Source organism: Homo sapiens, chromosome 16 (assembly GCF_000001405.40).
Source record: "Homo sapiens chromosome 16, GRCh38.p14 Primary Assembly".
In the NCBI taxonomy this organism is placed as follows: domain Eukaryota; kingdom Metazoa; phylum Chordata; class Mammalia; order Primates; family Hominidae; genus Homo; species Homo sapiens.
This window is the reverse complement of record NC_000016.10, coordinates 79,886,760-79,911,954: the sequence shown is the minus strand read 5'-3', so window position 1 is coordinate 79,911,954 and position 25,195 is coordinate 79,886,760. Positions and strand designations below refer to the sequence as shown.

The 25,195-nt window shown below is 42.7% G+C and overlaps 2 annotated features.

The window, feature by feature from the left end:
* Nucleotides 14,079–14,223: an enhancer, noted in NCBI's record as "145 bp enhancer 204/205 fragment used in the MPRA reporter construct; PK_construct_1575". NCBI's record gives its function as "activates an SV40 promoter by MPRA in HepG2 cells {active_cell/tissue: HepG2}" and the evidence as "EXISTENCE:reporter gene assay evidence [ECO:0000049][PMID:23512712]".
* Nucleotides 14,145–14,158: a transcriptional cis regulatory region, noted in NCBI's record as "HNF4 motif; enhancer activity is reduced when this motif is scrambled". NCBI's record gives its function as "necessary for full MPRA enhancer 204/205 activity {active_cell/tissue: HepG2}" and the evidence as "EXISTENCE:site-directed mutagenesis evidence [ECO:0005528][PMID:23512712]".

Genomic DNA, 25,195 nt, shown 5'->3' with positions numbered 1-25,195 from the left:
CTGATACCAGGCACTTTATATTCATGAACTCATATAATCATCATAAAACCCTGAGAAATTGGCATTACTGTTCCCATTTTATAGATGAAGAAACCGAGGCTCCTGGTATGCCAAAGGTTATAAAATGAGTTTAATATGAACAGCTATCACTAGTATTTATTAGGCTTGTACTATATTCTAGGAGCCTCCTCCACTGTTCTTGGGCATTAGTTCATTTATTTCCACAGCAACTTTATGGGGGAAAACTTGATTGTTATCCCTCTTGTACAGTTGAGGAAACTGTAGTGCAGAGATATTAAAGCAACTTTTGCAAAGTCCAGCAACTGGGAAGTGGCTTGAAACCGGAGGACATGATGTTTGAACTTGCACTCTTAAGACAAAATGAATGGCTACCAATTTCCTAACAAATCCTAGAGTAAGTTTCTATGACCTCTTCAAGATATAAATCGATGGGAATAGCTTTGGGCGATTGCTGGTCTTGGGATTTAGGGCCAGACGGTATTAACTGGAGGACTGTTCTACTTCTTCCAGCAAGATGATCTCAGGCAAGACACCTCTGGGCCTCATGACACCTGCCTCCCAGGCAAAGCTAAGAAGCAAGTAGAGAATGTAGGGAAAGACACCACATAAATCAGAATGAAATTGAGGTCCATTATGCTGGTATTACCATGGAAAAAACAATGAAACTCTCCTTCGAAAGAGGAGTTGTGCCCCAAATTTAAGGCCACAGTTTAACACAAAAGGTATCCATTTACAATTTCTTACCAAAACAGCTGTTTTCCTTTTAGAAAACAAACACATATACAAAACAACAACATTTAACAACAATCCAGGAAATTGCTTCTGTTTTCTTTCTTTTTTCATTTCATTTCACTTATTTACTTGATTTAAAAGAAACTGTAGCCAAGACAGAAATGTGTAAATACAAGAAGACGTTTCCTGCAGGAGGGGCTTTAATGGGTACATATTACATATAATTTTCCTGCACTTGCTTTTCCCCTCCATAGCTCATCATGAGCCTTCTCTCATGTTAGGGCATTTGGATCTACCCCCGTTCTTCTTAACAGCCACAATGATCCCATTATGCGGAGGTTCTGTTGCTTGCTTTTTTCATTCCCCTATTGATGGACCTACAGCTTGTTTCCTGCAATCTATAGTTATTACAGCAGCAAAATCATGTCTGTTATGCTTACATGTATATTCTCGGACAATTGCTTTTGATTTAAACTAAATAAAACATCCATTTCTAATTTGACTTATAAGAAAGATAGTTGAGAGATTTAGATCAGAGTATAATTTCTACATGCATAAGGCAAGGGGTAGGGAGTTTCACCGGACCCTATATCTTACCTCCTTCAAGGGGCCCCTGCACTACCCCTCTGTGTCTCCCAACCCCTTTCTCCAGCCCCTCCCAAACACACCTTCCTAAGACCCCTGCTTTTTATCTCACTAAACCCCCAAGGAAATGGCCAGGTCATTAGTGTTGTCTTTAGAACCAGCTCTTTTGACTTGGTTTGCAATTTTATTCACAGTAAAAACTGTTCTATGATTGAAAAAATAATAATAAGCATGATTCACTGACTTCTTTTGCTGTGGGTGTCATGGCGAGGGGTCCATGGCAGTGGCTGTGCTATGTAGGTCAGGCATTAACCACACATATTGAGTGAGGTCACTCTGGTCAGAGTGAAATTTGCAGAACAAAAGTATCCCCTTTACTGTGTGCAACGCCAAAAGGTGCTCAGAAAAGAATCTTTATCTCCTAGATGAAAAAAATATGAAAACCATTTGCTTCCAGCATGTCAAAGATCCTTGCTGTCTTTTCCCCACTTTAAAAAAGAATGATTAGAACATTTGTCTCAGTCCTCCAGCAACAATTATTAGATTCAGAAGCTCCTCTTAGGGTGAACAGGATCTGAGAGCGAATGTCTTAAATCAATTCCTTCTATTTCTGGTGTTAAGCCTCAACTTGTCAGATTGCTTGTGACTCCTTGGGCATTTCAGCATCAATATCAGTACGGCTTTGAGCTCCCAGAATCCGTCTGGCATTAACATTAAGAATATATTTGGATTCGTATGCTTATTTATCTTTTTGGTTTCTTTCCCACCTCAGCAGCCAGCCTCACGCTAGCCAGGAACTGACAATTCTTTTTGAAAAACTAAGCAAATCTTTCAAAACAGTCTTCAAGTCTTGTAGCAGCACGTTTGTGCTGTTACAGCTAAAGAGCTGTCAGGCCTCCAGCGTGCACCTTGATTTCAGCTCAGCAAATGGAGCAAAATATCCATTTTGTGCATGAAATTGCCTGTGTTCTGCATGGGAATCTATGCTCCTCAGCACCCTCTGCACTTAGCAGGCTCTGCTTGGCTTTTCCTCGAGTTGGAAAATTGGGTCTCGAGGAATAGGCTCCTTCTTGCCTGATGCTGGAAAAGCCATCCCTGAGGAAACAGAATTCTAAGTGAGAGTCATGAATTCTCACTTAGAATGTTTTTCTTCAAAATATATTTTTTGTGTGTGATAGAGCCCACAGCTGGCGGAGGTATGATCTAATGTTCACGGACATCCAATATTCTTAAAAAGTCAAAACAGCTCAGAACCCTGACGGGGTGAACTTATTTCATGCAAACAAATAAACAATCCAACAGCAAGAATAACAATCAAAGTAGTCTTTTATGTGCAGTTTGGAATAGTATCAAGAGCCTCAAAACCCTTTAATTTCACTTATTGGGATCAATCCTAAAGAAATAACCCTGGATCCACATTTCCAATCACGTACAAGCTTAGTCATGAAAGCATTATTGAAAAGGGTGGGAAAAAAAAAAAAAACAAATAAACCCAGGAGAAAAAGGTGTCTGTCTAACACTAGGAAACTAGTTAGGTCAATGGTGGTACATAAACAAGATGAAATGCCTTGCACATATTGGCATGAGTTTATAAAAGGGGTTTCCAAAGAAAAGTTAGCACTGATTTCTTAAAGTACATTTTTTGGAAGTGTAAAAAACACACAGAAGAGTGTACAAATCATACAAGCATAGAAGCAGTACCTAGATAAAAATAAATTAAAAAAAAAATTCTCAGCTTCCCAGAAGCCCTCCTGGGCCTCATCTGGTCATTACTTCACCCAGGGAAGCCATTTCTAACACCTTAGATCAGGTGTGTATTTTTGAACTTTATAAATGGAGCCGCATCTAAGGTATTCTCTTGTCCCTGGCTTCTTTCAGTGAATACTTTGTTTTAAGGAGTCATCCATGCTATCGTGAGGAGTTTCAGTTTCCAGATTCCCACTCTACTGTGCGAATATATTGCAATTAAATATCCATTCTGCTGTTGATGAGCGTTTGAATAGTTTCCAGTTTTGTCCATAATGTATAGTGCTGCTAATTGTTCTTCTACAGGCTTTTGATGATCACATGTGCACATTTCTGTTGGGTACACACCTAGAAGTAGAGTTGCTGGATTATTGGATATGTATATATTCTGTATTAGGAGAGGCCACCAAATAGTTTTTCAATGGATTATACCAATTTTTTCTCCTATTTGCAGTGTACAACTGCCCCAGTTGCTCCAAAATTTACCAACTCAATTTTGTGTCCAGTTTTTTTTTTAATTTTGGAAATGTGTAGCTAAATGACAAATATAAGTACAATGATGAATTTGTAAAAAATATGTATATATACATACATTAAAAAAATTCCTGGAAAGAAATACTTCAATTTGTTCATAGTTGGTAGTTTTGTGTGGTTGATAGAATCCTGTACTCATTCAAATTTTCTATCATTTTTCCCCTTATATTTTCTCATCCTCTATGACAAGGAAGTATTAATTTTATAACCCTTATTCCTTTTACCAGGCATTAGGTGAACATATGACATTTAGAGTAAGGTGTTAGAATAGTCGTGTGACCACCTTCCCATATGATGATCATTTTCAAATGCTATTGGCTCTGGGAGAAGCTGTTATTTCACTAGACGTTTCGATGGGCTAACATCAATTTATCCATGTAACCATTCATCCATCTACATACTCACGCACCCATTGATTTACTCATGCATTCAGTAAATGTTTATTAAACACCTACTCTGGGCCAGACATTTTGTTGGGTAGAGAAGAGCCATGGAAGAGATTCTTTGGAGCACTTATATTGCAGAGTTTTGTAATTAAGCATCAGTAATATAACAATATTGAAGATACACTGATACAAATAAGTATAGTATAAATAACAAGTATTTTTTGAGGATTCATGACTTACTAGGCATGGAGCTAAGAGAGTTACATGTAAACAATTATTTAAATCACAATCACCTATAGAACAGATATGGAAGCTAAAGCTTAGAGACCTTAGGAAAGTAGCCTGAGATTGCAAAGCTAGACTGGAATTGAGACTCAGATCTACAGAACACCAAGCCCTGCTCTCCTGATCACCTTTTTGGCCCTGCTGCCTTCTACCCAGAAAGGGGCATTCTGTGAGAAGGGAGCACAGAGGAAGTGACATTGATGAACAATCAAAACATAGGCTTTTAGGTTTAGTCTTAAAAGATGCAAAGGAATTTGTTAGGCAGGAGAAGAAAAAAAGGCCAGTAACGTGGGAAAGTAAGAGTGACTTCAGTTCTGAATGGAGAAAGGGCGGAAGTGAGAGATGAAGGGGAGAAAAAGAGTGGGAGGAACTTAAAACGCACCAAAGGGAGGGACCTTGAATCCTCCCTGTGTAGTTCCCAATTTGGAGACCAGTCCAAGTCTGGCCTTGGATAGTGCCTCTGAGTACCTTTCCCTCCCTCGCATGATGGGTAAACTATTCTCTCCTTAGTGTGCCCACAGATTCTGTCTGCACTCTCATTACCACATTGATACTATTTATTTATTTATTTATTGAGGTGGAGTCTTACTCTGTCACCAGGCTGGAGTGCAGTGGCGCGATCTCGGCTCACTGCAACCTTCTCCTCCGTGGTTCAAGCAATGCTCGTGCCTCAGCCTCCCGAGTAGCTGGGATTACAGGCATGTGCCACCATGCCTGGCTAATTTTTGTATTTTTAGTAGCGATGGGATTTCACCATGTTGACCAGGACGGTCTCAATCTCCTGACCTCTTGATCCACCCACCTTGGCCTCCCAGAATGCTGGGATTATAGGCGTGAGCCACCATGTGCAGCCCACATTGACTCCTTTTATAGCTGTACTATTCAATAGGATGACCACTAGCCATGCATGGCTATTTTTTATTTTATTGGTTATTTATTTATTTATTTATTTATTTATTTTTAGACAGAGTCTCTGTCACCCAGACTAGAGTGTAGTGGCATGATCTTTCTGCCTCCCAGGTTCAAGTGATTATTGTGCCTCAGCCTCCCAAGTAGCTGGGATTGCAGGTGTGCTCCACCACACGTGGCGGATTTCTTGTATTTTAGTAGAGACGGGGTTTCACCATGTTGGCCAGGCTGGTCTTGAACTCCTGTCCTCAAACAATCCAGCCACCTCAGTCTCCCAAAGTGCTCGGGTTACAGGCATGAGCCACCATGCCTGGCCACATGTGGCTATTTAAAATGAAATAAAATTAAAATGCAGTTCCTCTGTTGCACTAGTCACATCCCAAGTGCTCAATAATCAGGTGTGGCTAGTGGCTCCCATATTGGACAGTGTGAATATAAAACATTTCTTATGTTGTAGAACATCCTTTGAAGGATGCTGCTTTTTAGCCTCTCCTGTGCATGGAAAATCACCTGAGGAGAGGAACCATGCTTGAAGGTTGCCCCTAATGCCTTGTATGGGATGTGGCAAGGACGAGATGCTCAGTGTCTTAAGTTAAGTCAATAACTTTAGGACTGGAAGAGAATTTATATCCCACACCTTCATTCAATAGAAAGACTGAGGCTGACACTGTTACTAGTAATATGTCTTTGACCAAGTAACTTTATCCTCAGTGCTTCTCCAGTTTTAAGGTATGTGTGAACACCTGGGGTTTTCAATAACGGTGCAGATGCTGATCCAGTAGTCCTGGGGTAGAACACAGATTTTTCATTTCTGAGAAGCTCTCAAGTGATGTGGATGTTGTTGGTTTGCCAACCACACTTCAAGGTAACGAGCCTCTATAATCAGTGGAAAAGACAAAAATAAAATACTAAAGGACAAATCTGGAAACTCTAGCTCTAGGTATGGAGATTTTTCTGGGATATGAATTCATTTTGTGAACACGAGAGCACATTTAAGCCACTTATTCATCTATTCCTTTTAGGACACTAAGACGTCTCTTTATATTACCGTTTAGAAGATGAAAAAATCAGAGGGAATGTTTAGAAATCAGGTGTCAAAAATGCCACCCCTCTATTCCCTGCCTTTGACACCGTCATGATAACCACAATGAAAAGTTAATACCACCACTAACAAAAGCTTAAAGTCAAGGTATAATTGATTCTGTTTCATTTAGCTAGAGAAATCTTAAAACAAATAGATAAACACACATGTGAAACATGAGTCAGAAGGGAAGGAAAAAGGGCAATGTGACTTTAAGAAACTTCAGGAAGAGAGGTATAGAAGCAACACACTTTTCTGAGGAAGAAAAGTCTCTTTACATGTCTCTTCCTTTTGCAGTATCTCCTTCAAAACCACATTTGACATGGGTCTAATTTCCTTGCTCAATATCATCATTATTAAATAGCCACAAATCACAAGTAACATGTTTATCGTTTCAACATTTCTTCCAGGATCGGCTTTGAATTATGGATTGTGAAAACATAGATTTTGTTGCCTGGGAGGGGGGAAAGAAAATTCTATCAGTGTTCTAGAAAATGAATTTTTAATACCATTTGAAAGACAGGTTACAAATGTTCTAAGGTTTTAACTCTTTAAGACCATTTCCAATGCCTGAAACAAGTATGTTTAATTATGCTCCTGACAGCTCTCCTTAATGCTGGTGAGCTGGAGAGAAAGACACAGATATTTTCTAGAAAAGGAGTAGACATATAGCTCAGGGTGCTGGTTTTATGGGCAAACTGCAGCAATTCCCTTACTCCGTCTCTCTCCAAATTCCATGGCCCATGGAGGAGTCATAGCATGTGCCGTATGAGTCAAGTGGATGGGGATGAAATCTGGCTACTGCCTCTTTGCAGCCATTTAATTTTCGCTAAGTCACTTGTTAATATTTTCTGTGCCTTGGCCATCTGGATGATAGTAATACCTAGTTGTTGGATTATAGGAAATATTAAATTAAAATAATGTATATAAAGTGCCAGACACATGGTAACAACTGTTTTAATTGAGGTAGTAATATTCATAATGGTATTTGGACTTCATCCCAGGAAGGACAATTTGTGAGTAGTGGGACAGGGCATGAGAGTTTTCAAGGACACTGAGAATCTATTCATCCCCTAATCTGCATGGATGACATCTTTTCTATCTCCAAAGGCCTCTGTGAAAATGCATACCGGATGTGGCTGTAACAATAATGATTTTCGGAGTAGGAGTGATGGTGTGAAGAACAGGGAGGACGGTGGGCATCCGAGCCCATTGAACATTATGATTTATATATTGCTCATATGAATTAATATAAGTTCATGTTATTGTGTCCCAATATGCACCAGGCAAAGTGGTAAACACTTTCCATGCATCATCTCATTCACTCTTCACATCAGCCCTGCGAAGTCAGTACTACTATTTCCTATATAGTACAAGGTTTTTCAGCTTCCACACTATTGCTATTTGGGGCTGGAGCGCTCTTTGCTGTTGTATTGTCCAGAGCATCGTAGGACTCTTAACAGCATTTCTGGCTTTCACCTACTAGCTATCAATAGCATTCCTTTTCCTACCACCCTATAATGTCTGCAGACATTGGCAAGTGTCCTGCTGCAGGGGAACAATAAACCCTGGTTGAGAAGAATGAAGTGAAGTTCAGTGATGTCCCAAGATCATCCAGCTAGCAAGTGCTGAAGCCAGAATCAGACGTCAGGAGGTAAAATTCCACGTCCCTAAATACTAAAGCTCTGTTGTCTACTAGGCCCAGAATAGAAAGTGAGGTTCTGTGTTTTCTGGGTTGGGGTAGAGGAAGTGGCCTTTTGAGCAAAAATCCTGCTGTGAGGAGTGAAGGTAAGAAGTCATCTAATAACCTGGACTCATCAAATGTTTCCAGGTATGCATCTACCCCTTAGAAGTTCTTCCCTGATTCTAACAAGGCTGCCTAGTTACAAATTATTTGAAAATGATTCCTTGGGATTGTTATTTTTCTCAGCCAGTTATTGAGCATTCAGGGAAAATCTAACATTTGACTCCAAACCATTAGCTCCTCCTTACTAACAAGACTTGGCAGTAGATGTCTTTTGGCTTTAAAAACAAAACAAAACAAATGTACTTTCAAAGATGGATATTTGCCTTCACTGAGGACTATATCATAGGTTCAAAAGGAAAATTAAATGAGAACATTTTGATTATGCTAAAATATTTGTTCTATGTCCCAAGGAGACCAATTTCACTTAAATTCGTGATTTCTGAGTGATTTGTTAAAATTCAGTCCCGCTTGTTTCTAGAGTCCCATCTCTGTAGTTTAGCTGTGCCTATCACAGGTACATGAGGAAGTCCCTATTACATCGTTGTCTATTGCTTTAATAACAAGAATTTCTCATATATGCCTTCCAGTCACAAAGTACATTCATGTTTATCTTAACGAATCTTGCAACAGCTCTAGATAAGATGTCACAACTATCCCAATTTTTACATATGTGGAAAGTGAGGCCCAGGGAGATTGACATGCATCAGTGAACACCTGGCAGCTATTGGGCTCCAACTCAGGACCTCCTCTAATTCCAAAAGTGTGGATAAGGGATGGGTGCCTGGCATCAGGAAAGATGTGAGTCTGTCTTTGGGGGTCAACTCCATGTGAGTTTTCCTTTGGGTCTCCAGAAGAACCTCAAGAAATGCCCCAGCTAGTGACCACCAAGGGGTTTTGCTTCACAGTCACTAAGGCCTGGAGGTAGCCAGGGGTTTGTGAATGTGTGTCTGTCTTCAATGCCACACACCCTTAAGGGAGAGCAAACATAACTGTATCTACGTGGGTATGTATACAGTACATTAAATTAAGAATGCTGGTACTCGAACTTTATAGAGGGCAACAGACGATCAGAATTGGGGCAAAGGGAATGGGTCCAGGCAGAGTCCCCAGTGAGCCTGAATTGTCTTTAATTATTGTTCAGTATACCATGCCCACCTCCATAACCACCCATGCCCACCTTTTATGCATCTCCAAATGTTCACTCAATCTGCCCATCCAAATAGTGCTTCTTCCTGCTTACTCTCCAGCTCAGCGTTTGTTTTCATTCTTTCCTGCCTCGAAGTTTTCTTGTCCAGAGTTCACGGGATTCTGCTCCACAAACGCAGTGGAATATGGAGCCACCAGGTCAGAGATGGAGAGCATATTTTTCTGATGTGTCCACAGCCCCCAGCTGAGTCCTGGCACATAAGAAGTGGGAGGAGGTAAAATTCAGAGACTGAGTCAGAATATCAACTATGGAATCCAAGGCCTGCCACTCACTGGCCCTGTGGCCTTGAGTGAGCCACTGAAGCTGTCTGTGGTAGGTAGAATAATGGTCCCCCAAAGATGTCCACATCCTAATCCCCAGGATCTGTGATTACGTTACCTTACTTGGCAAGAGGGAATTCAGGTTGCAGGTTGAATTAAAGTTGCTGCTCTGCTGACCTTAAAATAGGGAGATTACCCTGCGTTATCTGGGTGGGGCCATTGTAATCACAAGGATCTTTAAAATTGGAAATAAGTGGCAGAATAGAAATCTGTCTTGTCATGATGCCATACGAGAAAACCATTGCTGCTAGCTTTTAAGATGGAGGAAAGGGTCATGAGTCCAGAAATGCAGTTGACCTACGGAAGCCTGAAAAATGAATAAAATGTTTCTGCTCTAGAGCCTCCAGAAGGAACACAGCCCTGCTGATACCTCACTGCGAGCCCAGGCAGATCCATGTTGGACTTCTGACCTCCAGAACTGAATGGTAATAAATTTGTGTTGTTTGAATCCACCAAATGTGTGATAATTTGCTGTAGCGAGTAGGAAACTAATATACTGTCTATGCCTCAATTTTTTCATCTGTGAAATGGTGACAATAATAGCACCTGTAAAGAATATTGCTATAATTATTCACAATAGCAAAGACATAAAATCAATCCACATGCCCATCAGTGGTAGGGTGGATAAAGAAAAAGTGGCACATATACACGATGGAATACTATGCAGCCATGAAAAGGAATGAGATTATGGCCTTTGCAGTGATATGGGTGAAGCTGGAAGCCATTATCCTCAGCAAACTAATGCAAAACAGAAATCCAAACACTGCAGGTTCTCACTTATAAGTGGGGTGTGGTAGCGGGTGCCTGTAATCCCAGCTACTCAGGAGGCTGAGGCAGGAGAATCGCTTGAATCCGGGATGCAGAGGTTGCAGTGAGCTGAGATTACGGCACTGCACTCCAGCCTGGGCAACAAATCTGAAACTCCGTCTCAAAAAAACACAAAAACAAAAAACACCAAAAAACAAAATATAAGCGAGAGCTAAACAATGAGAACACACGGACACAGGAAGGGAAACAACACACACTGGGGCCTGTCGGGGGAGGGTGGGGAGAGCATCAGAAAAAATAGCTAATGCATGCTGGGCTTAATACCTAGGAGATGGATTGACAGGTGCAGCAAACCACTATGGCACACGTTTACCTATGTAACAAAGCTGCACATCCTGCACCTGTACCCCAGAATTTAAAATAAAATTTAAAACAGAATATTACTTTAAAAAATAAATAAAACAGTATATGTACAGTTCATGGAAGACAACCTGGCTAAGGTAGAGAATATTGGTGTTTATTAAATGTACAACCAACGCCTTGAATGAATGGACAGATGAATGAATGAACTGAGATGTTTGAACCAAGAAATACAAAAAGAGCAAGGATATTTCAATGAAGGATCAAATATTTGCTAACTTCAGATTGAGTGCTTTGACAATTAGCTCCTGGCCATTTGCTGTTCTCTGCAATAGCTGAAAGAACATGGCAGCCAGTCCTTTCCTTGATTTTTCCCTTGGTTTTCCCTATTACGTTTTGGGCAGGTTTGCCATTATTCTCTGGGCTTCCACTCTGACCCTCTTGACTGAAGGGTGGTTCAACTCCCTGGAATCTCTTGACCAATAAATAATGATAAATAATGTAACATTAAACAATTTAAAAATCAGCTCTCTGTAATGCTGTAACAATGGCTGGTGGGATCTTCCTATCACGTTGACCAGTGTGTGGAATGATGGAGGCGGCGTATCTGTGCTGTTCCCTAGATCTCCTTTGCTTTCACATCCTTCCTTTTTGCCTGTGAAAAACAATCCACCCTGAAGAAACTTTGTCTCCATTAAGATGTTTTTTTCCTTCCCTTTTTCTCTTGTTGGCGGTTCCCCTGTCTCAGGCCATCTAGCATCTAACCTACAACAGAACAGCCTGCTCTGTCGTCTCTCCCCAGCATTTTCTAAATATTCGCATTCTTCAGATGCCAGCTCCTTCCTTATTTTCTCAATTCTGTATTTGTTTATCCTCAAAAGCTCTTTTGTAGCAGCCCACATGGATCTGGGAAAACGTGGAGGCCAGCCCTCTTCCCTCGGGCAGGCGGGTGGGAGGGCCGAAGCCCACCAAGAGCTGCATTTTTCACTCTCCACTTCTGGGGCACTTTCCGAGAACAGAAGCAACTGCAAGGTCCTGTTGGGCCAGGGAGCTGACAGAGCCCTTCCAATGTCAGCCATTTCCCTGAGGATCTGGGTCCTGGTGGGTGCAGGCTCTGTTGAAATTGGGGAGATTGTTAAACCCGTAGCTCCCAGTTTTGCAAGTAGAAGCTCTGCATTTTGACCTGGTCCCTCTCAAACAGACCTCAGAGCTCAGGGTGTTTAAAAACCAAGGATCATTCCAAGACCAGGATACACTAAGCATGAACTATGCCCATGAAGTCTACAGTACTCATCCACAGATTAGAAGGTAACTAGAAAGCTTACTACCTTCCCTGCAGCCCCAACTTGGCCTTTGCTCAGGACTTGGAAACCCTGTAGAAGGAAGCAGGAAGAGCTGGAAAGTAGCAGGCAGTGGACTGAGTATGCCTCCTAAGGGTAGCCCAAGGACAAGGGAGAAGAGAAAGAGGAGGGAAAGGTGTTTCCTTTGTCAACAAGAAGGAATTTTCCATCTCTTCAGTATGGGCCACAACAGGACTTAAGTTCCCAAAGTAGGCTGGGATGGGGGCTCACACCTATAATCCCAGCAGTTTGGGGGGCCGAGGAGGGAGTATCACTTGAGCCTGAGAGTTTAAGACCAGCCTGGACAAAATACTAAGATCTTGTGTCTACAAATTTTTTTTTTTTTTTTACTTAGCAGGGTGTGGTTGTTCACACGTGTACTCGCAGCTATTTGGGAGTCTGAGCAGAGAGGATCAGGTAAGCCCAGGAATTCCAGGCTGCAGTGAGCTAGGATTGCACCACTGCACTCCAGCCTGGGCAACAGAGTGAGGCTCTCATTTCTTAAGAACCAAAAATGTCCCAGAGTTGGATTTAGAATCATTTGTTCTTTGAGGGGTGGGGGATGAGTCATTTTCCTGCTTTATATTCTTTAACCTTCACCCACTGCCTTTAGAAGGTGAAACTTGCTTGCTGAGCTCCGTGGTATCCGCAGTATCCATTTCCTTCTACGCAATTGTCATCCAGTTGTTCTAAACTGTTAACGGGTCCCTCTAAACTCTTCATGCCTTTCAGACTTTGGTGCCTTTATAAAAACTCTGCCAGTGAGGCTGTTCTCCTTTTCCTACCCAGATAATTCTTATTCACCCTTCAAGCCTCAATGCAGCTGACTTCTCCTGCTGGGCTAGAGGAGCATCCTCTGTGTTGTCATGGTGGAGCTGGAGGGTGCTGGGTTTGCTGGGTGCGTATCAGGTCACAGGATTCACATATGTTAATTGTCTCCAGCATTTTGCGTACACTAACCCATGTATTCTTTATCACTACTCTGTAGTAATATTATAAACCCATTTTATAGATTAGGAAACTGAGTCTAGAGAGCTGAAGGAACTTGCCCAAGGTTGCAAAGCCGGTAAAAGGCAGAGCTAGGATTTGGCCCTTAGCAGCCCAGCTGTGGTGTGAAGAGTATGAACTCTGTAGACAGCCAGAAGGGGATTGCAATTCCACCAGATTCTCACCAGCTGTATGACCTTAGGCTACTCAACTTCTCTACTTTAGGTGCCACATTTTAAAAATGGGATTATAAAGAGTATCTATTAATGCATGAAGAGGTCATAGTGGTGATGATGGTTAAAAATGTAATGTATCCTAAGCACCTGACATGGAGGAGTCCCTCAGCTAAGACCTCACAACAATAATGTTATTACTATTAACAGTAATTAGTATTCTCCCTTCACAGCCCTAATGACACTAGACCTATTCATCTGCTGCCTCCCCACACAGTACAGGAACCATGTTGTTTTAACCTCTTACACAGTGGCTAATACAGAGCGTAGCAGATATTTGGAATTCTGTAACTGTTTAAGAATAAATGGTTGTTGCTAATCTAACATACTTAGCACACCAGGCATGTCTTGAGCGTTCCATTTATATTAATAATAATATTATTATTATCATTCACTCGGATGGTTTAATGTAGATACATCTCTGATGGGAAAAAGTGGGACTTTCCACTTTTGTCATATTTGATAAAGGGCAGTCACACCTTCTAGTTGATTCAGAAGAAATACTGTGAAGTTTGCCACTGTATCCACTAAAGAGCAACAGCATGGCTCATCCTTGTGTCACACAATTAATTAAGCTGTCTTATTTTGTTGTTGAAGATGGTGGTAGAGGCTGTGAAAATGTCAAATGGGGTAAAAGCCAAAACGGTCCAATCATTTACCCTGCAATGAGAATCACTAACCACAGGGCCAGGGTCAATATTAGAGCAAGTTACATATCAATTGGGAGTCATCAGGGCCAGGGTCAATATTAGGGCAAGTTACATATCAATTGGGAGTTATTAGTGTCTATCCTTCCTAGTGCTGGGAGAGCAGATTGGTCCTCAGCCCACTCATACGAGTGGGGAGCCAGTGGCATGGACTCTGACCGTGAAAAACAAGACGCTAGAAGGATTTATGCTCCCAGAGCTTAAAGGTCAAACCACGATGTGGTTACAGTGTCTGTGCTTTCCAGATATGCTGTCCACAGGGATGAACAAAGTCCAGCTTGCAGGAAGGCCTGCGTTCAAATAACAACCGCGGCTTCAGGCACTCTTCCTGGTCTTCCAGCAGGGCTCTGGGAAATGGCAGAGCAAAGCACTGAGGGGCCCAGCAGGGCTGGTGGAATCAAGGGGAAGGTTGTCACTCCCAGCACTAACTCCAATAGCTACTCTTTGCAGAACACACACTGTGTGCTGGACACTGTATGGAGGGCTTTTATAAGTGACATCACTTAACCCTCACAGATGCCCCCAGAAGGGGTATGGGTGGGTTATTTCTATAATTATGCAAATAAAGAAGCTGGAAAGTTAGAGTGAACAAGCTGAGCAACGTGTGGGCTGCAGAGCTTTCCACCCTCATGCTGCCTGCCTCTGAGCTCAACTGTTGGATGGATATAGGCAGCTGCTTACTTCAAACTCATCCTCTCCTTTCTCTGCTCAGACTGATTTTGTCCAGAACAGCAATGTGCTCACTGCCCTGGGAAATGCTCACTCTCCCAGAACCCTTTGCAGCTAGGGTCACAATGGCACAGGATTGTCGGTGAAGTTTAAGGGAAACCCTGTTGGGAGAGGGTGTGTGCTGTTAGGGACACACTCACTTTCCTCAAAGAAGTGGGACAGGTTCAGCCCATCTGTTCCTTCTCCTTTGCCTGCCTGGGATGCAGTCGTTAAGCATGGAGTGGCAGAAACCCTTTGTTCAGAGGCAGGCTCTGTTGCCCAGGCTGGAGTACAGTGGTACAATCCTAGCTCACTGCAGCCTTGAACTCCTAGGCTCAAGTGATCCTCCCACCTGAGCTTTCCCAGTAGCTGGGACTACAGGGGCTTGTTACCATACTGGGACAATTTTTTAATTTTTTAATTTTTTGTAGAGACAGGGTCTCTTTATGTTGCCCAGGCTGGTCCTGAACTCCTGGCCTCAAGTGATCCTCCCACCCTCGCTGGAATTACAGGTGTGAGCCACCACACCCAGCCGCAGAAGCCTTCTCGCGCCTGTTACGGAAAGGCAAGAAAACTTTAGAGACTTCAGAGACCTCAGAACTGAGATCCTGGGGTGGTTGAAGGGAGGCATGCCACCAGGCCTTAAGGTTTTTATTGCTACAGCAAAACCAGCCACCAGCTAAGCAGGCAGCCCATTCGCGTCCCAAGCTGTGTCCTGCTCTTTAAGTGGGCTCAGGGTGTATCTTGCAAGCTACATCCCAAGGCGTTCTAGTCAATGTCTTTGGGGAGGAGGAAAAAATAAGAAATAAAGCAAATATAAAATGTAGAAAGGTGTAAACTCTAAACAAGTGGAACTTGGCCTCAGAAACAAATAAGCTCTTCAAGGCTTGTTTTACTTCCCGATTATTCTCTCTGTAGCTGGGTAAACTGGTTTTCCTCGCAATGGCCAGCTTCACTGCTGGGCGGGTTTTAGCAGTCAGCTCCGACCCTCTAATTGCACTTATCATGTACTAATTAGCATTTAATAAGCAGCAACCATGTATCCGTTCCTGAAACAATAAAGCGACCTCATCCCCACTTCAAAGTTGAAGAAACTCAGATTAGGATGTTAGCAGCAACAAGAATAAAGGGCCACACATGCCTAATCAGAGTTAATGGCACAGTTAGAACCCAGGGGACCCCAATCTGGAATCTGGTTGCGGGCGAGGAGGCTTCATAATTAGCCACCACGATTCCTGTTGGAGTCACTCACTGTGGTGGAATAATTAACGCAGGCACGATTCCTTTCAACAGGCGCCAAGACCTAGTATCTAGATGTACACTATAAGGCCTGGAAAGATCTTTCTGCAGGTGAGTTCTTGGGGCTGTGAAACTGTGCAGAGTGTTGGGTGGGGACGCCCCCACCCCCGGCCTTGCTGTAGGATACCTGACTTTGGCAGGCAAGAATGGGACTGTGTGGTTTGGACACACTTTCAGAGTGTGCACAAGGCCCGTGCCAGGGATTTGGTGAGCAGCGGGCTGTGTTTTACAATCTTATCCTTGCTCCAACACTGTCAGCTGGGACTTAATGTCTCTGTCTGGGGAATACTACCAAGGCCAGCTGATCTCAAAGTGGGGTTCCCTGGGCTGGCAGCATCCCCTGAGAACTTGCTGAAGATGAAATCCCCAGGCCTTATCCCAGATACAATGAATCAGAGACTTCAGGGGGAGGGACTAGCAGTCTGCATTTTAGCAACACCGCCCCACAACCCCCAAGGATTTTGATAGACACTCAAGCTTAGAGGCACTGGCCTGAACCTAAAACAGGAAGGAGCTCTCTTCCCAGTGTAAGCAGGGAGTGGTGAGTGGAAGGAGAACTTGGGGCCCCCTCTCAGATCGGCCCTTCTAGAGCAAAGACCTCCTCTGTGGTGCTCATTCAATCTCTCACCATCTCACAGAGCTGTTCATGCCTGGGGACCATCCTATAAAGAACAGCTTTCTCATCTGGATGTGACATCTCTCCCACCTTTGTTCTCACTGTTAACCCTCTACAGAATGTTCTTACTCTTCCGGGAAGCCTTCCCAGACTGATTCTCCACTCCACCAGCTCATAATCGCCGGTGCAGATGTGAACTTTTATTAAAATTCCTTGTTACGTGTCATTCCTTCCCTAAACTAGGCCATCTATGAGGACAGGTCCCAGATGTTAGCACACAGTGGTTTGTACATAGCATTTCTTCCATGACCTTCAGTCATTTAGTCAATTGTTTTCCAACTTCTAATATCAATTCAGTAAATATTTTGTGTGTTAATTTGAAGAAGAACTCACCCAGTGTTACATTTTCTTATATCTACCCTTTATGTTTATCCCTCCCATTTTTGGTTATATGTAGAGGGGATTTTTAATTTTCTCCTAATTTTCCCTGATATAAGTATGTCTTCACTTGCAATCTGACTCCCTTTACCATGTATAACAAAGTTTGCTGCACTTTTAGACACCATGTTGTCCCATCGGTATTTTTCCAAACATCTATTTGCCAGATGCTAATAGAAAAATATTAGAGACATTTTTTTAAATCACAAATTGGTTCTGATTTTCTGATATTTATAACATGGGTTGGGATACAGGCTTCAAAAAATCAAAAGGATCTCGTGCCTATTAGAGATGGTTTGTCAGTACTACTCGGAGACCACTTCCCTGGGTCAGATCCTATGTAGCACGGAGGTCAGAGAAGGGCAAAAGTGTGTGTGTGTTGAGGTGTTTGGAAAGATTTCATGAAGAAAGGCGGTCGGGAGGCCAAGAAGCTGTCTCCTTAGGGCTGGGTGTTTGAAATTGTCGCCTTCATATGGTTGTTCTGAGGGAAAGAAAAATTACCAAATACTCAGGCTCATATTGTCTTTAACACAAACCTGAGCCCTGTGAAGGGGGTCTACTCTTATTCTGATTTTACGGATGAGAAATACAGTCAGTGAGGTTGAATCATTCACCCCAGATCCCAAAGGTAGTAGATGCTGAAGCTGGTATTATCCATGTTGTTTGAATTGGTGCAAGCTACTTCCCAACTACCTCAATTTCTCAGGCCAGCAAAAGAAATGTGAAGTGGTGGCCAGGTGTGGTGGCTCATGCCTGTAATCCCAGCACTTTGGGAGGCAGAGGAGGGCAGATTATGAGGTTAGGAGTTCAAGACCAGCCTGACCCACATAGTGAAATCCCATCTCTACTAAAAATACAAAATTTGCTAGGTGTGGTGGCACACACCTGTAATCCTAGCTACTCAGGAGGCTGAGGCAGGACAATTGCTTGAACCCAGAGGGCAGAGGTTGCAGTGAGCTGAGATTGCACCACTGCACTCCAGCCTGAGCAACAGAGTGAGACTCCATCTCAAAAAAAAAAAAAAAAAAAAAGAAAAGAAAAGAAAGAAAAGAAAAGTGGAGTGGCCACAAATGAAGACAGCAGAGTGTCCTGCCGCTATTTGGTAAGTGACATTTCAGAGAGACTTGCTTGGGGGACAAAAAGAAGGACTTATAGCCACCCGCTCCTGCCTCATCCTTTTTACCCTGGAAGATACTAAAGCATGGGGAGAATTTTCCCATGGCCGGCCTAAGAAGTGAATCCTACAATCTGTACACATCGTTTCAGAGAAGATCACTAAGACAAATGTTGAAAGAGTCAACAACATGGTAAAAGTTGATTATCAGCTATTTAATCTCTGTTAAAGGTTTTACAAACAATTTGAGTTTCTTGAAGGAAAAGTAAACTCACCTCTTTGTTATATGCACTTAACAAATAAGCACACACACACACAGACACATTAAGTACAACTTTAAATGTGTCTACCAGATGACAATGTATTTCTAGAAGGCTGCATGGAGATAAGATTCAACATGTATAAATTTGTGCCTATGGAGGGTTTTGTGTCCTGGCTGATCTTACAGCAGCAAACACACACACGAAGAGATATACTAGAGAGTTATTAAGAGGTGCTAACATTTATTAAGCATTTCCCAATGCTCCAGAACTTTGCCAAAATCAAGGCCTCCTCTTATTTAATACTCACTGCCAGCCTCCAAGGGAATTGCTACATTATCTTCCTTTTGCAGATGAGGAAATGGAGGCCTGAAGCAGCAAAACACAGGCTGATGCTTGCAAAGCTGACATTTAAACCCAGATTTGTGAAACGAGATGGAGAGAGTCTCATTCTTTACTTTATGTCATCATGAACCTCTAGAATTGCAAACCATCCATCCAAAAGTAAAAAAGTAAGACTAAAATAAGAAAACACATGTTCATTTGACTTTGTACACCAAGTCCTTACCCACCGGGATCCACTACCAACTTCAAAATTCCGCTGGGCCCACCCTGCATGGCATTCGAACAGCAGGAAAGGCTCATGCCGCTCGGCACTTCTAGACTTGAGGATGGTGCCTGTGACACGGACAATAGGTGATGGCTATGGCAGGTGGGGTACAAGAGCTTTTGGAGGTTCTGCAGAAGTTCCTGTGGCCACCCAGACACAGAGCCATCCCCACCCCTCAACCCTCTATAGGGGCTTGTCAGTGAAACTCCTGCTGTCACAAGGAGCAAGCCTAGCTCAGAGGGAGATGGGAGGGGGAACTTGGAGAAGGCATAGCCCTTGATACCTGGTTATGCAAGTTTCTATGGTCACTGATGGGCACATTCAAGGCAGACAGTGTGAGCAGATGACAGGAGAATGCATAGATTTCAGTGTTCTCTGAAGACTGTCTGGAATATAAAGTCCATTGCATTCCACTGGTGTTTCCTGAGCACGTACTTTGTACCTGGCACTGCACTCATCTGTGGAGCTTGATTTCTACCCTCAAGGCCTGGCTCAGCAGAGACAGGATTGCCTCCTGGTCATGAGCCTGGGCCCTCGCCCAAGAGAGCCTCAATTTGAAACTGGCTCTACTGCTCAGTAGCCCTGTGACTTCAGGCAAGGGACGGAATCTCTATGTCTCTGTTTCCCCATCTGAAATAAGGGGACTCAAAGAGAACCCACTTCATATGGTTGTTCTGAGGGTTAGATGAGCTCATATTTGAGAAGCATAGTACCTGACACATAACATGCCATCAACAAATACTAGCTGCCAGTATGATTATTACTTGTAGGCATTCTAACTCCAATTTCTCTCCCTATTGCTTAGTGGCCTTGAGTTGACTTGAGAAGTTATTTTTTTCTTCCTCTAAGCATCAGGACTTTCATCTCTAAAATGGAAAGAATTGATGCATAGACTAGTTCAGAAGTTCTTAAACTTTTCTGATTTTGGCTGTAGAGTCTTGTTCATACAAAATTATGTGTGGGAATGCCTACAAGTGGAGTTTTAATGGTTGTTTTAGATAAAGTCTCACACTTTATTCCTAGCCTCAAACTTTTTTAGCATCTTAGAGCCTTAGTTTCCTCTTCTGAAAATGAGACCATTCATAGAACTGACCCCGTGGGGTTGTTGCAGTGAGAAATAAAATGGCGCATGTGAAGTGTTTAGCTCCTACAAAATGTCTTGTTTATCCTTCCCGCCACCATCTCTCCTATTTAGAGAGAACTTCTCACCCACTGCTGTGGCCACAGAAGCTCTTCTATGGGAATAGGTCCTTGGGGGCCATCTCGGAAAACCACTGGGTAGATCCTCTCTAACACCCCTTCTGCCTCTACTGGGGCAAGGGTCAGGACTGATAATCGGGCTTCCAGCAAGCAGATAAAAGCACGTGCTTAGAAGTACTGAGAGCTCTTGTCAGACTGAATGTTAGGTTCAGTGAAGGCTGCAGATCAATGGGCTTTTCAATATGTCAATATGTTTCTGCTCACAATCTATCCTACTCGTGTGAGTGTTAGCAATAGCAAGATGGTGGTGCATTTGGGGAAGGAGCTGGGGCAGAGGACACAGAATCTCTACAGGGTTCTTTAAACAAGCATTTTTAAAACATAGAGATCTTTTTCCTGCTCCAGAAAGTTAGATTTATTGAGCTGAGTCAAACAACTGTACATCCTGACCTCACTGTTGCAGTCATTGATCAGCTCTGAAACCCTCCAGCACATTGCATTGCCATTTCAAGAAAGAGCGTGTTCTCAGAATGGCCCATGGGCTACATTCTGGCCACTTGTAGAGAGAGGCATTCTGGGAGATAGGCAACCGATAGGCGAGAGACACTTGGGCACCCAGGGTGGTTCCTAGCTGGGTGCGTATCTAGCTAAGTGAGCCAGACTCTGGGGTGACCATCCCAGAGGATGCTTCTCAATACTCAGCGCAAGAAAGGAAGGCAGAAAAGAAGAGCTTGGTTATGCTCTTTTGGTTTTAAAATTGAGAATATTAACTTTTCAGTACCAGTTTGGATTTGGTAAACATTGTGCACGCTTTGCCTATTGCTTGATGGATGTTGCACACTTCTACTTAATGCTTAATTATGGGCGTGTGGTGCATGCAGCATGTGCTCATGTATGTGTGGGTGGGTCCTGCTGTGCATCTTTGAGTACATCCAAATTAGCTGTGGGGTTCTTTGCTAAAAACATATTAGCACTTATAAAAACACTAATCCCAAGAATGAGGCCTGATTCATGGTCTAAATACTGCCAATGTTTCCTAGACTTGGGTTATGTTTTTAAATTAGTTTTTATTATAAAGGAACCACAAACTAGTTGAAAATATTTTTTTTTAACATCTAGAGGAGGATAAAATAAAAAGTTATCTGTTACCCGTTTCCCAGAGTCCAAACTTTCCCTAGAGGAAATCTCTGCTGACATCTTAGTGAATCCATACATTTAGAGAATTCATATATTCTCTGTACTCATACATGTGCTTATTTATGTACTTTTAAATAAAGATAATCATATTACTTATACCATTTCTCAATTTTGTTAATTCACTTAATAATACTTGACTTGAATTTGGATCAAATTCCTATCAGATTTCAAGTTAAGAGTGTGGAAGTCGTTATGAGCTTTCAGTGAATTTGAAAACTGGGGAAATGGGTCCATGTTGATGCTGTGAAGGGAAAGCAGAAAACACAAACTTAAAATATGAACGAAAATTGAGGAGGGGACAGGCCAGAGAAGAAGCAGCACTAGATCTGAGTGGAGTGAGCAGGATTTGATGCATCTATGCTCAAATATGGGATGAATTGCTTTTGATGGGGGTTGACAAGAAAGACAATAATGGCTGTTCTACAAGGGTGGCCCCCAGTGAACCATCTCCTGGTTTTCACACACTTGTGTGATCACTTCCAAGTGAATTTCAAATGAAATCTGAGCTGGCCTGGCACTCACGTTAGGCTATAGAATGCAGAGGAAGTAATATAATGTTGATTCCAGGCCCAGCCTTTAAGAGGACTGTCACTTTTGCTTCTTACTTCATGAAATGTTCACTCTTGGGAGCCCTGAGTCACCCTACAAGAAGTTTATCTACTCGTCTGGAATGGCCACATGGAAAGAAATAGTCCTGAGATGGCAGGAAGAAAATGAGAGCCATCACAGTGTCTCTGTCTTCAGATGTTTCCAGCCCCAGCCATCATTTGCTGCAAGTGCTTGAGAGACCCTAAGTGAGACCAGCATAATAACCACCCAGCTGAGTCCAGTTAAACCAACAAATTGAGAATAAAAGCTGTTGTTTTACAGATCCTCGTTTTGTAGTAATTTGTTACACAGTAATAAAGAACTAAACACATAGGTCATGGCTGGAGTATGTGTTCTTTCCAGACATGTTTACAACAAGCGTGATACACTCTCAGGAAATAGAGAAATCTGTAAGGTTGGCCATTAAAATCTAAGGCTCCTCCACATGGGTTTTGAAAGTGGTCATCTCCATGATCAACATGTTAGGTATTTAGCTGAGTCTGGCTTTGGAATTCCTTTGATAGAACAGGAAGAGGAAGACTACAATTTTATCTCTGGCCAGCGTCTATTCCATTTATTTTTTGAGACAGAGTCTTGCTCGGTCATCCAGGCTGGAGTGCAGTAGTGTAATCTTGGCTCACTGCAAGCTCTGCCTCCTGGGTTCACGTCATCCTCCTGCCTCAGCCTCCCGAGTAGCTGGGACTACAGGCACATGCTGCCACGCCTGACTAATTTTTTGTATTTATTTATTTATTTATTTTTAAGTAGAGATGGGGTTTCACCATGTTAGCCAGGATGATCTCGATCTCCTGACCTTGTGATCTGCCGGCCTCAGCCTTCCAAAGTGCTGGGATTACAGGCATGAGCCACCACGCCCAGCTGCCAGCGTCTATTCTAAACAAGAATAGAATATAATTCTTTTTTTTTTTTTTTTTTTGATGGAGTTTCACTCTTGTCCAGGCTGGAGTGCAATGGCACAATCTTGGCACACCGCAATCTCCACCTTCCAGGTTCAAGCAATTCTCCTGCCTCAGCCTCCCCAATAGCTGGGATTACAGGCATGCGCCACCACGCCCAGCTAATTTTTTGTATTTTTAGTAGAGACAGGGTTTCTCCATGTTGGTCAGGCTAGTCTTGAACTCCCGACCTCAGGAGATCCACCTGCCTCGGGCTCCCAAAGTGCTGGGACTGCAGGCTTGAGCCACCGCACCCAGCTGCCTACATCTTCTTAAATGGACGGGTACGCTATAGGGAGAGAAATGAACGGACCTCAATCTAAGGGTTTTCATTAATTATATAGCAAAAAGTGAAAAATAAAAAGGAAGACAAAAAAGCATCAAGAAAATCTAGAACAACTCTATATCCTGAAGGATATAATGATTTGTAACCAAATCACTTGTCTCTCTCCTTAGGAGGTTGGTTGGCATAATTAGTTAATTCTTGGAAAGAGTTATGTGTGTCTTCTTTATTAAGTGACATTTTCCTTTAACAAGGAACATAAGGATCAGGAAAAACTGTCATCATCAGAGAGTAATGGGTTTTCTTTTGAGAAGCCCATGTGTTTAATGAGGACAGTATCTTTTATCCTGCAGCATTCCAAAGGTATTTAGAAACTTTATGGGGCTTGAAATGGAGCCACCTCTGGCATGAAATCTGGGAACACCTCTCGCCATTTGAGGACAGGATGTGCAGATGCCAACCGAAACTACCCAGAGCACATAATTACCAGTTGGAATTATCAATTACCAACTGGAATGGGTCCAGGCCCCGGGCTCAACCCCTGTGACAAACATCAAGGGCTATTTAAAGACCACATGTGGTTTGATACCTTTGCTTTGGCCTCATCACCATCTGGGACCCCAGAGAAGGGTATATATTAAATAGATTAAGTCTTCCCTGGTGGTCAATGTTGGGTTTGAACTCATAAAAAAGAGACCTCAGAGTCAGGCCCATGAACCACATTCGACCCTGCTGACCACCTGGTCTGGGGATATGAACGGCAAGCTTTGAAGAACAGAGGATGCTAAAAGCTTTCATGTGGTCTCTTCTATCTGCTCCCATCTGGGAAGCCACAATGTAAACCAGCCAGGTGCCTGGAATACTCTAGTCAAAATACGCAGAGACATAGGGGTGCTGAGAGATGAATGGAACAACTTGAGAGACAGTCCAAACATGAGCCGGGGCACATGCATGACTCACACACATGGCTGGCATGTGAATGTGCCTCTGAGTGTGATCTGGAAGGCATATGAGTTGGGGATCTGTTTGTGAGTTCATATTGGCCATACACGTATGGTTTTGAGTTTGTTTGCTTGTTTACCTTTCAGTTTTATTTATTTATTCAACAAATAGCTATTGGCAGACAGCAGTACAAAGCAGAGCAAAATAAACAAGGCTCAGTCCTCCAAAGCTTAGAGTCAAGTAATGGGCAAGTGAGGGAATCAGATAATTCTAATTCAGTGTGGTGGCAGCATAAAGCATTTAGCTGCAAATGAATTTTCCAGTGTGAGTGCTCATGTCCATCTGAGTGCATGTAAGAGTGCATAACTCTGTGTTATGGTGCATTTGGAAAATAACAGAAGTTTACCAAGTGGTTCCAGCAACTTTTGGCCATTGGAACACTCTATGGTGATGCTAGGTTCATAAATGGAGCCTCAGAGATGTGTGTGAGAGGTGGGAGGCAGAGGTATGAACGGGATCCTGAAATCCAAAATTTCTGGCCACAGTTACTCCACCCCCATCTCTTCCCATGGATAAATTGACATAGACTGTGGATTTCACTTTCAGAATAGAGGGAACAGCATGATTGTTGCTGGAAATAATATTGTGGTCTATAAAGAGATCTAGTGTGGTGTGTGTGTATGTGTGTGTGTGTGTGTGTGTGTGTTTCATGTCTTCAAATGACTTTCTGGATCAAAAGATGATTGAAACCCTTTGAAAACCTAAGAATATAAGGTTTCTGCAGTCAGTTGCCTGCTAGACTGATGTACCTTATTCTGATTTGGGTTAAGTAAATCATGTGCAAAAAGAAGAAAAAAGAAGAAGGGAAGAGTAATGCACATTTATTTCATGCCAACTGCTCTTAGGCATCGATTTGAGCAATTTGGCGTGTGTTGTCTCTTAAACCTAAAAGCCTTCCCAAGGGGGGTGTTATGACATCCTTTTGTAGATGAAGAAGCTGAGGACCAGGTGGAGTATCTAAAGTCACATGCATTTT